This window comes from Homo sapiens, chromosome 6, assembly GCF_000001405.40.
Source record: "Homo sapiens chromosome 6, GRCh38.p14 Primary Assembly".
NCBI lineage: Eukaryota > Metazoa > Chordata > Mammalia > Primates > Hominidae > Homo > Homo sapiens.
The window spans coordinates 118,493,210-118,506,690 of NC_000006.12; the positions used below are offsets into that span (position 1 = coordinate 118,493,210).

General features: G+C 39.9%; 1 protein-coding gene and 1 pseudogene across 15 annotated transcripts in view; one reads left to right on the plus strand and one right to left on the minus strand.

Moving 5' to 3' along the window:
* CEP85L (centrosomal protein 85L) overlaps positions 1-13,481 on the minus strand; it is a 249,318-nt gene that overhangs the window by 32,438 nt on the left and 203,399 nt on the right. The window lies entirely within an intron of this gene.
* Positions 8,164-10,637, plus strand: BRD7P3 (bromodomain containing 7 pseudogene 3; annotated as a pseudogene). The gene has a single exon (NR_002730.2). The product of NR_002730.2 is annotated as a bromodomain containing 7 pseudogene 3 (transcript).

Below are 13,481 nucleotides of genomic sequence, written 5' to 3' on the forward strand. Positions count from 1 at the left end.
AGAAAGAACATTTTTAAAAAGGTTAAAAAGTAGATACAGAGAGTTATCATGTCATGTTTATAGGTTACAAGTGGGCAGAATAAAAGGGAAAACTTACAAATCTAGGTTGCAGCCTTCCTGTAGAATTCCAAGAATTGTGAACTTGGCTTTGTAAATCTCTATATTCCCCAGCATTCAATCTAGTGTCTAGACTCTGAGCAAGTCTGATGAAAGGGAAGAGATGAGAGGAAAAAGACAAGAGAGTGCTAGAAGAAATAGGACAAAGCTAGATTCAGTGAACAAGATGCACTGAGAATGAATATGGATGTTATCATTTAAAGAAATTATTCTAACTAATTTAGCTGAAAAGAAACAAGGAGCTGATATAGAGCATGGAGAACAGAATGAAGAAACTGGAAGCAGGGTGAAAGGATTTAGAGAAAATGATTATTTAAAGATGTAAATGGAAAATAAATGTTAAAGATAACCAAGGTTTAAGATTTTGTCTAACTAATACGGAAGATTATCTTCTGGGCAGAAGTAAATATAAAGAAGAACAGTAGGTTATATAGAAAAATAGGTTATACTTAAGCAGATATACTTAATATAATTAGAGCCTATGATTATTATTTCATTTGAATATACAAGTACAGATGGACACCAGGCAGAAAGATAGATATGGAACTCAGGAAGATGGCTAGGCTATGAAACTATAAAAAGCTAATACAGACTTCCAGTTTCTAGCCCAGCGTGTAAAGATATCAGAAGTCGCCACTCAGTCCTAAAAAAAATAAAATAAAAAGCTGAAAAAACTGAAATATCAACAAGTCTTCTAAAGTCTGTGAGAGAAATGAGGTTACAGGGCAAACTGCTGCCTCCAAAACTGGAAAAAAAGGATAGGTAGAAACAGAGGTTCATAACCTAATAAAGCAAAAACCCATTAGTAGAAGAGCCAGGGTGGGAAAATCTGTAACTAATGAATTGCTAGAGACTTGGAGTAGATAAATCTGAGAGTTAAAAATTCCACGGGGACCCAATCATACAGGAGGTTTCCATATGTCTGTGAGTTTTACCTCCAGGAGTGTTCTACAAGATCTTCAGTGAGTATCAGAGAAAAATCCCCTCCTGTTTCTGGCAGGGGGAGGGGAAAAGGAACCATTTAAAATATGCCAGAGCATTCTGTTCTTAAAAATGCCTGCCGTCAGGAGAAACTATTTTACCAGAGCCTAAACTGCTGGGGTTTTATCAGAGCTTAACGTAGTTGGGGTAAAGGGAATAACCCAACTCCAGCCAACTCCAGCCTTCCACATAGAGGAGGGTTAATACACAAATCAAGCTCCTTTGGCCTTCCCTGTGGAAATACCAACTCCATCGCCCTCCTGCCATCCTGTCCCGCCTAAGGGTGGGGAAAGAAAAAATCTTAGAAAACTGAAGTTCACAATCCAGAGGAACAAATTCACCAAAAGACTGAGACCTAAACACAGGACTATAGAATACTTCCCCTTCCCTGCACACTTTACCACTGCATTACTAAAGCTCTATTTACCACACTTATTAAACCTTGGACATCATGTCTACTTTCAACAAAAATTACAAGACACGCAAAAAGGCAAAAAACGCAGTTTGAAGAGACCACAAAGCATCAGACACAGAGTCAGATATGGCAAGAATGTCAGAATTATCAGACCAGGGATTTTTGACAACTAGGATTAGTAAGATTATGATAGAAAATGTAGACAGTATACAAGAACATACAGATAACGTAAGTGTAGAGATAAAAATTCTAGAAAAGAATAAAAAAGAAATGCTAAAGATTGAGAACACTAACAGAAATAAAGAATGTCCTTGAGGGACTCATTAGCAGAGTAGACCTGGCTGAGGAAACAATTCCTGAACTTGGGATATGATGACAGAAACTTCCAATACTGAAAAAGAGAAAAAAAAAAAACCTTAAAAAAACAACATGCCTTGTTTCACATGAGGCTTCTGACTTGGACTTTCGGGTTAATGCTGGAATGAGTTAAGGCTTTAGGGGACTGTTGGGAAGGCATGATTGTGTTTTAAAATGTGAGAACATGAAATTTGGGAGGTGCTGGGGTGGAATGACACGGTTTGGTTGTGTCCCCACCCAAATCTCAACTTGAATTGTAGTTCCAATAATCCCTATATGTTGAGGGACTCAGTGGGAGGTAATTGAATCATGGGGGCGATTACCCCCATGCTACCGTTCTCGTGATAGCGGGTGAGTTCTCTTGAGATCTGATGGTCTTACAAAGGGCTTTTCCCTCTTTGCTCAGCACTTCTTCCTTCTATCATATGAAGAAGGATGTGTTTGCTTCCCCTTCCACCATGAATTTAAATTTCCTGAGGCCTCCCCAGTCACGCGGAACTGTAAGTCAATTAAACCTCTTTCCTTTATAAATTATCCAGTCTCAGGCAGTTCTTTATAGCAGCATCAGAACAGACTAATACAAAGCCCTTTACTGTTGGTGAAGAGGTGATCCTGCCTGCTGCCAAGCACATTTGTCATGAACTCTTAGGAGACGCTGCAGTTCAAAAGGTGACATGTGTTCATCTTTCATCTTTCAGCCATCACAACAAAATGAACTGATGAAACAGCAGAGGATATTGAGGCACAGTTGTTAAAGAGGATGAATGAGTCACTGTGGTATGCAATCCAGGTTGAAAAGTCTATCAATGTTAACAAGGCAACAAGGCTTGCTTTTGTGTGATATATTTTCAGAAGGATGTGCAAGAGGATATGTCATACGCACTTTTATTGCCAACCAACACCACAGCTGCAGAATTATTCAAGTCTTTGAATGATTACATATCAGAAAAATGGAATTGGTCATTTTGTGTCAGTATACGCACAGACAGAGAGGCTTCCATAACTGGATGTCCTTCTGGCTTCACAACTTGGGTCAGATGGTCACTTCTGCATGTGACTCCACACATTGTGTCACCCATAGAGAAATGCTGGCTAGCTGAAAAATGTCACCTGAATTTAGCAACATTTTGCAGGATATCCTTAAAATTATCAACCACATTAAGTACATGCCCTTAACCCACATCTGATGGTGCAGCTCTGTGAGGAGATGGACGCAGGGCACACACGTCATCTCTTATACACAGAAGTGATTGCTTTGTGTTATTTTATTTTATATTTTTTATTTTATTTTATTTTATTTTATTTTATTTTATTTTATGAGGCTGGAGTGCAATGGCACGATCTCGGCTCCTGCAACCTCCACCCCCGGGGTTCAAGCAATTCTCCTGTCTCAGCCTCCTGAGTAGCTGGGATTACAGGCATGCGCCACCAAGCCCGGCTAATTTTTGTACTTTTAGTGGAGATTGGGTTTCACCATGTTGGTCAGGCTGGTCTCGAACTCCTGACCTCGTGATCCACCCACCTCGGCCTCCCAAAGTGCTGGGATTACAGGCGTGAGCCACTGTGCCCGGCCAGAAGTGATTGCTTTCTAAAGGTAGATTACTGGCCAGAGTTTTTGAGTTACAAGAGCCACTCCAGAGATTTCTTTTAGAAAAACAGTCACCACTGGCAACACATTTCAGTGACACAGAATGGCTCACAAAACTTGCTTACTTATGTAACATATTCAACCTGCTCAATGAAGTCAATCTGTTGTCACTTCAAGGGAGAATGACAACGGTGTTCAAGTCAACAGATAAAAGTGGCTGCATTCAAAGCCAAACTAGTATTATGAGGGCAATGCATAAACATTGGGATTTCTGACATGTTTCAAACATTAGCAGAAATCTTGAAACAGACTGAGCCAGGGCCTTCTTTCTCCCAGCTGGTACATGGATCACCTATCTCAGCTTTTTAAAGAATCTGAGCATTAATTCCCAACCATAAAAAAACCCGAACTGGGAAGAAATGGATAGCGACCCACTTGTAAATTGCCAGGTGAATCAACTTTGTCCACACTAGAAGAGAATCAACTGCTTGAGACTGCAAATGACAGTGGTCTTAAAAGTATGTTTGAGACAACTTCAAGTCTCCATACATTTTGGATTAGAGTCAAGGCAGAATATCCTGAGATTGCCACAAAAGCACTGAAAAGCCTGCTTCCATTTCCAACATCATATCTTTGTGAAGCAGGGTTTTCTGCAATGATAGCGACCAAAATGAGATTACAGAGTAGACTGGACATAATCAACAAACTTTGGGTGTCACTGACTCCCAACACTCCCAGATGAGACCGTCTAGTTGTGGAAAACAAGCTCCGGGCTCCCACTGATTCTACATTATGGTGAGTTGTACAATTATTTCATTATATATTAAAATGTAATTATAATAGAAATGAGGTATACTATAAATGTTATGTGCTTGAATCATCCCAAACCACACCCCCTCCCCAGGTCTGTGGAGAAATTGTCTTCCTCAAAACCAGACCCTGGTGCCAAAAAGGTTAGGGACTTCTGCTATACACTCTGAAGTTATCCTTCAAGAGCGAAAGAGAAAGACTTCCACAGACAAAAATTGAAGGATTTTTGTGGCCAGTATATCTGCTTTGCAAGAAATGTTAAAAGCCTTCAGAGAGAAGGGAAATGACACAGGTCAGAAACTCACATCTAGACAAAGAAAGCAAGAGCATCGGAAAAGGAATAAGTGAAGGTAAAAATTTTTAAAGCTTTATTATTCTTAATTGATCTAACAAGTGACATTTTAATTACAGCAACAATGTAATCATTTATGTATGTTTCTGTGTATGTGTGCATGTATGTATACATATGCTTATGAATAAGTGAAATGACTGATAACAATGATACAAGGATGAGAAGGAAGATGGAGGAATTAGAAGTATTTTGCTATTATATGGTACTTATCATAAGGTACACTTCATTACCTTCAGGTGGTGTAGGGTTACTTGACAGCAGACTTGGATTAGTTATAAATGTAAATGAAAACTATAGGGCAACCACTAAAGAATGTAAAAAGAGAAGTGTAATAAAGTAGAAAGAGAAAAATTGATTAATATAAAATGCTCAATTAAAATGACTGGGAAATGGTTGGCTCATGCCTGTAATCCCAGTACTTTGAGAGGCTGAGGCAGGAGGATCACTTAAGGTCAGGGGTTCGAGACCAGCCTAGGCAACATAGTGAGACCCCCATATCTACAAAAAATAAAAATAAATAAATACAAATGATAAAAGACAAAGTGTGGAACACTACAAAAAAATCTACAGCTAAGCATCAAAATACATCAAACAAAAACTGACAGAACTACAAAGAGAAACAGATTAATCTACTATCGCAGTTGGAGATTTTAACAACTGTATCAGAAATGGACAAATCTAGCAGCTTGGGAGGCCAAGGCAGGTGGATGGCTTGAGCCCAGGAGTTTGAGACCACCCTAGGAAACATAGTGAGACCCAATCTGTTAAAAAAAAAAAAAAAAATAGAGAGAGAGAAAGGAAAGGAAAAAGGGAGGAAAGGGAGGAAAGGGAGGGAGGGAGGGAAGGAGGGAAACAGAAAAGAAAAGAAATGGACAGTTTCAACAGGCAGAAAATCAGTAAGGGTGTAATTTATCTCAACAGCCCCATCAATCAATTAACTGTAACTGACATCTGTAGACTACTCATCCAAAAATGGCATCACACATTCATCTCAAGCTCACCTGGAACATTCACCAAAGCGGACAACATTTTGGGCCATAAGATACACCTTAAAAAGATAAAAAATCATCCAATGTCTGCTGTCAGACCATAGTGGAATTAAACTAGAAATCAAAAACAGAAAGACAGCTGGGAAATCCCAAAATACCTGGAGATTAAACAACACACTTCTACATAATACATAGGTTAAAAAGGAAATCTCAAGAGAAATTTAAAAATGTCAACTAAATGAAAAGGAAAATACAACCTATCAAAATTTGTGGTATCCAGTGAAAGCAGTACTTAGAAATTTATAGCATTGAATGCATATATTAGATAAGAAAAAAAGGATCTAAAATAAATCATCTAAGCCTCCACCTAGGAAATCAGAAAAAGTAGAGAATATCAACTAGAAAAAGTAAATCTGAAATAAACAAAAGAAACTAAAAGTTCAATGTTTGAAAATTAATTAAGGTACTCCATCACCAACAGGCTAAAAAAGACAAATCATGATTATGTCAAATCCACGAAATGCACTTGACAAAATCTAACACCCATTCATGATTAAAAACTCTTGGCCAGGCACGGTGGCTCATGCCTGTAATCCCAGCACTTTGGGAGGCTGAGGCGGGTGGATCACAAGGTCAGGAGTTTGAGACCAGCCTGGCCAATAGGGTGAAACCCCGTCTCTACTAAAAATACAAAAATTAGCCAGGCATGGTGGCAGCCACCTGTAGTCCTAGCTACTCGGGAGGCTGAGGCAGGAGAATCACTTGAGCCCAGGAAACGGAGGTTTCAGTGAGCCCAGATCGCATCACTGCACTCCAGCCTGGGGGACAGAGTGAGACTCTGTCTCAAAAAAAACAAAAAACAAAACAAACAAAAAAACAACTCTCAGCAAACTAGTAATAGAGGAAGCTTCTTCAATTTAATAAAGAACATATACAAAATACAAGTATAGCTAACATTATATTTATAGTGGTGAGAAACTTGAAGCTTCGCCACCAAGATCAAAAAGCATGCACGAATGTCCCCTCTCACTACTGCTTTTCAACATCATACTGGAAGTGCTAACTAATGCAATAAGACAAAAAGAGTACATAAAAGGTATACTGATTGGAAAGGAAGGAAGAAATAAAACCATCATTGTTCACAGATAACATGATCATCTTTTATAAAATGTCAAAAAGAATCCATACAAAAAAACTCCTGGCTAGGTGCAGTGGCTCATGACTGTTATCCCAGCACCTTGGAAGGCCAAGGCAGGAGGATCACTTGAGCCCAGAAGTTGAAGACCAGCCTAGGCAACATAGTGAGACCTTGCCTCTACTAAAGTATTTTTTTTTTTAATTAGCCAGGCATGGTGACACACACCTGTACTCCCAGCCACTCAGGAGGCTGAGGCAGAAGGATTGCTTGAGCCCAGGAGTTGGAGGCTGTAGTGAGCTACTGCTGGGAGCCAAAAATGCCAAAGGGACCGTGACCAACTCAGCATTCCACTGGTGGCTATATGATCAAACAGCAAACTATTTATCATGAACGCAGGACGTGGGCAAACTCACACTGCACCTGCTGCTAAAAGGTTTCCTGAGGACCATCACTCCCTGGCGCTGGGCTCCTTGAAGTTATCTACTGGGAAATCTAGCACCTATTGTTCGAAGGATGCAGTCTCACAAGCCTGCTGTGAACCAAACAGGCTGACTGATAATTACTCAACAATCACCCTCTCTTTCTCGTTATCTCTTTTACCTAATACATTCAGAGGGCTGAAAAAGCTCAAGGACCCTGTCCACTAGAGGCAAGGTGCCCCCGACCCCTTCTTCCAATTATACTCTTTTGTCTTTGTCTTTTATTCCCACGTTCACCCCCTTTGTTCAGTCTCCCAAGGTCCATGCAGGCTACAAGTACTGCCCCAAACAGCAACAAAATCGGGTGCTCAACAAGCTACAATTGCACATATGATTGTGCAACTGCATGCCAGCCTAAGCAACAGAGCAATACCCTGTCTCAAACAAACAAACATCTTGAAGGGACATCTGTTCTACTTCTTCTTGTTTGGATAAACAGCTTGTGAGAGGCTTCTCAGGAGGCAAGTCTAATCTCATAGGGGCATGACACTGGAAGTCTTTTTCTGCCTCATTCTCCACATGGTCTTGATCTCGCTTATTTTTGTCCTCTTCAATTCTGCTTTCTCCCCTTTTCTTCCCCCAGAACTGGCTTCTCTCCTTTCTTTCTCTTTTTCCACTTTCTGTCCTTGTGTTTGTCATGATTGTTTTTGTCTTTGAAGAGGCTGGAGCAGTGCTCCAAACTGCCCGTGGAGAGCTCAGTAACTGCTTTCCCTCCTACTTTGAGGACCAGCTTCAAGGGCTTTTCCACATACTCTTTGTAGAGGTGCTTCTCTGACTTGTGCTCCTTGCCCATGTCTGACCAGGCCCTGGTGCCCACCTCCCATGCCAGGCCCAGGCCTTGGGGTGCCACTTCTGGTCCAGGCCAGGCGAGGTGGAGGACAGGAGCAGGGCCTACCAAACCCCGCACGCCAATGCAGGGGGTTAGCATGTGTGCCAGGTGGCACAAGGCCCCTCTTGAGAAGACAGCCCATGAGACCTAGCTGGGGCCTGAGAACATGAATCAACTGATGAGACAGCTGCAGAGAAAAGATCCAAGTGCTCTTTTCGTTTTCTGTGATTTTATTGCTCCTGGCTACTCCATCATCATTAAACACCCAATGGATCTCAGCAACATGAAAGAAGAGATCAAGAACAGTGAAGAACTAACGGATAACTTCAAACCAATATGTACTAATGCCATGATTTACAACAAACCAGAGACCACTTATTATAAAGCTGCAAAGAAGCTGTTACACTCAGAGATGAAAATTTTTAGCCAGGAAAAAATTCAGAGCCTGAAGCAGACCACAGACTTCATGGCTAACTTGAAAAAACTTGAAAGCAGAAAGACAGAACAGACATCTCACAGAGTGGGGAGGATGGAGGCTGCTGGCTGAGAGAGAGAGAGAGAGAGAGAGGACTCTGGAGATGCCGAAGCACAAGCCTTCAAGAGTCCCAGCAAAGAAAATAAAAAGAAAGACAAAGATATGCTTTTAAGTTTAAAAGCAGTAATTTAGAGAGACAGTAGGAGCAGCTTGACTGCATCATGAAGGAATCTGGAGGAAAACTGACCAGGTGGCTTGTTAACAGTCAGTGGGAATTTGAAAGAAGAAAACCAGATGGAACAAGAAGACTGGGACTTCCCCATCCTGTGGATCCCATTGTAGGAGAGCCAGAATACTGCCCTATGAGACTGGGAATGACAACTGGAAGACTTCAGTCTGGAGTGAATATTCTGCAGGGGTTCAAAGAGGATAAAAGGAACAAAGTAACTCCAGGGTTATATTTGAATTATGGACCCTGGAGTTCTTATGTACCGCATTATGACTCCACATTTATGAATATCAGCAAGGATAATTCAGATTTAATCTATGCAATCTATGGGGGAAGACTGATCTTCCAAGCAATTTCAGCAACCATGAGTTTCTGGCCCCATGCCAAGATTACCCATATGTTAAGACAGATAGTTTGCTGGATGTTTTAACAAAAGGAGGGGATTCCAGGGCCCTATAAGAGTTGGAGATATCACCTGACGATGAAGGCCATACTAGGACACTTGACACAGCAAAACAAATGGAGATTACACAAGTAGAGCCAGCAGGACATTTGGACTCTAATACTCAAGATAGGCTCATGGCACTGAAAGCAGTAACAAACTTTGGCGCTCCGGTTGAAGTTTTTGACTCTTGAAGAAGCTGAAGTATTCCAGAAGAAACCTGATGAGACCAACAAATTGCTCAGGGAGCTCCAGCTCAATGAGCATTTGAACACCTGACCCCTTCCCAATATGATGTCTCTTGGATCCCTCATACAAAGAAATGCATCTTGCTGAACAGGTGACCAATAATCTTAAAGAACTTGTACAACAAGTAACTCCAGGTGATATCGTAAGCATGTATGGAGTTCAAAAAGCAATGGGGATTTCCATTCCTTCCCCTGTCATGGAAAACAACTTTGTAGATTTAACAGAAGATCTTGAAGAACCTAAAAAGACACGGAGTGGACCTAGTGGGAGTTGAGGCCACCTGGTATTTGATTATGTATTATGTACATACTTTTCCATTCTTAACTTAAAAACGCTTTCACAAGATATCAAATATTTGTAAATTGTGCTTTTAATTAAACTTCGGAACAGTGAAAACAAACAAAAAACACCTTCCTGGAACTAATTATAGCAAGGTTACAGGATACAAGGTTAACACACAAAAGTCAATCATTTTTCAGTATGTCAACAATGAACAAGTGGAATATAAAAATTAAAAAATTCACTACCATCTATATAAGCAATCAAAAAATAAGATAGGTATAAATCTAACAACATATGTTCAAGATCTATATGAAGACAACTATAAAACTCTTCTAAAAATGTTCTAAGAAGAACTAAATAAATGAATAGATATTCCATGTTCATGGATAGGAAGACTCAATATTGTGAACATGTTGGTTCTTTCCAATTTGATCTATAGATTCAACACAATCCCAACCAAAATCCTAGCTTATTACTTAGTAGATTCAATGAACTGATTCTAAGTTTATATGAAGAGGCAAAAGACCCAGAATATCCATCACAATACTAAAGGAAAAGAACAAAGTTGGAGTACTGACACTACCCAACTTCAAGACTTATAATAAGGCTACAGTAATCAAAACAATGTGGTATTAGTGATAAAATATAAAATTAATCAATACAACAAAATAGAGAGTCCAGAAATAGGACACATAAATATAGTCAACTGATCTTTAACAAAGGAGCAAATGCAATACAGGGGAAAAAACAGCCCTTTCAACAAATGGTGCTGAACAATTGGACATCCACATGCAAAGAAAAAAAAAAGAAACTAGACACAGACCTTATATTTTTTACAAAAATTAATTCAAAATGGATCACAGACCTAAAACACAAAACTATAAAACTCCAAAAAAAAAAAAAAAGGTAGAAAATCTAGATGAACTTGGCTATGGCAATGACTTTTTAGATATAACATCAATGCTGAATCCATGAAAGGATGAACTGATAAGCTGGACTTCATTAAAATTAAAAACTTTTTCCCTCCAAAAAACAATGGCAGGAGAATGAGAAAACAAGCCACAGACCAGGAGAAATATTTGTAAAAGATGCATCTGATCTAAAAACAAACAAACAAAAAAAACCTGTTATCCAAAATGTACAAATAATAGGCCGGGCGCGGTAGCTCACACTTCTAATCACAGCACTTTGGGTGGCCGAGGCAGGCGGATCACTTGAGGCCAGTAGTTCGAGATTGGCCTGGCCAACCTAATGAAACCCTGTCTCTCACTAAAAATACAAAAATTAGCTGGGTGTGGTGGTTTATGCCTGTAGTCCCAGCTACTTAGGAGGCTGAGGCAGGAAAATCGCTTGAACCCAGTATGCGGAGGTTGCAGTGAGCCGAAACCGCATCACTGCACTCCAGCCTCGGCAACAGAGGGAGACTCTGTCTCAAAAAAAGAAAAAAAAAAATCATACCTACATAATGAAGCTTACATTTAAAAAAAAATAATAATACTAGGTCTACAGAACTTCTAGACAGCTGAATATGTGGAAGTTCCCTCCTGAAGGGTGGCACCCCTGGAGATGGCATGGGATCTCCACATTCCTTATCTCATACCTTCCCCTATGCATCTCTTCAATCTGGCTGTTCATCTGTATCTTTTCTAATATCCTTTATAACAAATGGGTTAAGTGTAAGTAAAAAGCTTCTGAGTTTCAGCAAGTTAATCAAACCCAGGGAGGGAGTTATGTGAACTCTGATTTATAGCCAGTTGGTAAGAAGCATTTGGGACTTGAAATTGGCATCTGAAGTGGAGGGCAGTCTTGTGGTAGTGAGTCCTCAGTCTGTGGGTTCTGACGCTATCTCTACACATACAGTGTCAGGATTAAATTAGAAGACAGACACCCAGATGGTGTCTGCTGAAGAATATGCAGAACTGACTGCCTGGTGTGTAGGGAAACAAATACCATACATGTGGTGCAGAAGTACTGTGCTGAGTGGAGAGTAGAGTGGGAAAAATGCATCTTTGGTTTTTCCTATATCACTACAGCGGCTTTACTCATAATTGCCAAAACTTGGAAATTATCAAGATGCCCTTCAGTAGGTGAAGGCTGTGCATGTGTGGGGATATGGAGGATATGGGAAATCTTGGTACTTCCCATTTAATTTTGTAGTCAGCCTAAAACTGCTCTAAAAAATAAAATTCATAAATTTTCAAAAAGTTATCACAGGTGGGGCCAGGCGCGGTGGCTCACACCTGTAATCCCAGCACTTTGGCGGGACTAAGGCAGGCAGATCATGAAGTCAGGAGTTCAAGACCAGCCTGGCCAACATGTTGAAACCCCGTCTCTAATAAAAATACAAAAATTAGCTGTGTGTGGTGACACGCGCCTGTAATCCCAGCTACTCAGGAGGCTGAGGCAGGAGAATTGCTTGAACCCAGGAGGCGGAGGTTGCAGTGAGCCAAGATCACGTCACTGTACTCAAAAAAAAAAAAAAAAAAAAAAAAAAAAAGTTAACACAGATGCTTCTACTATAATACAAATATATGCATTCCTGGAAAACCACTGGAAAATCATGCACTAAACTGTGATATACCCAGAAAGCGGAACATTATTCAGTAATAAAGAAAAATGAACTATCAAGCCATGAAAAGATATAGAGGAAACTTAAATGCATACTACTAAGTGAAAGAAGCCAGTTTAAAAAGAAATGGTTTGAATAGTATGTACTATATGATTCCAATTACATAACATTCTGGGAAAGGCAAAACTATAGAGACCATAACAAGTTCAGTGGTTGCTAGGGGTCCAATGGGTTGAACAGGCAGAGCACAGAAAATTTCTAGGGCAGTGAAACTACTCTGCATGATACGATAATGGTGGATACATGTCATTACTAATTTGTCAAAACCCTTAGATTGCACAACACCAGGAGTGATCCTAATATAAACTATTGGTTTTTGAGTGTTAATGGTGTGTCAATATAGGTTCACTAATTATAAATAATGTACCCTAAGGTACAAAACATTGATAGTGGGGGAGGTTGAGCACGTGTGAAGATATGGAGGATATGGGAGATCTTGGTACTTCCCATTCAATTTTGTAGTAAATGTAAAACTGCTCTAAAAAGTAAAGTTAATAAATTTTTAAAAAGTTAACACAGGTGCTTCTACTATAATGCAATATAGACATTCCTGGAAAATCATGCACTAAAAATAATAGGGCGTATGGAACGAATAGGATTAAAAACACTCAATTCAAACTGATGCAATTTTAACTAGTGCACTAACAAAAACAGTGACTCAGGAGATAACTTGGACAGTCTGAACAGGTGGTCACAGTGATATTTTAAAACCACATACACACACAGTCAAAATGCTGGCGGTACTTTAATTAGAGGTCTGGTGAGTGTTCAGATGATATAGGTGGACTCTGTGATATAGGGCTTGCCGTGCAGGTGGAGTAGGAGGGAGCATAACCTGGCGTGAACTGAAAGTCTATAAAGAAGGAAGTGCACTTCTCAAGGAAGAGCACCCAAAGGGCAGGTACTCTTTTACAATTTTCTTATGTAAGTTGGAAAAAGCTTCTGCTAATGTAGTAGGTAACCCTAAGCCTTTTGCTTTGCTGGCCAAATATTTTAATTTTATTCACCATATTCTAACTCCCCTTGCCTGGGGAGTTGGTGGGGGAAAGCACTTATGAACCAATCTAGAAAACTAAGCAGACATCATTCTCCTATTTACCAATTGTGTATGAGCAAATTT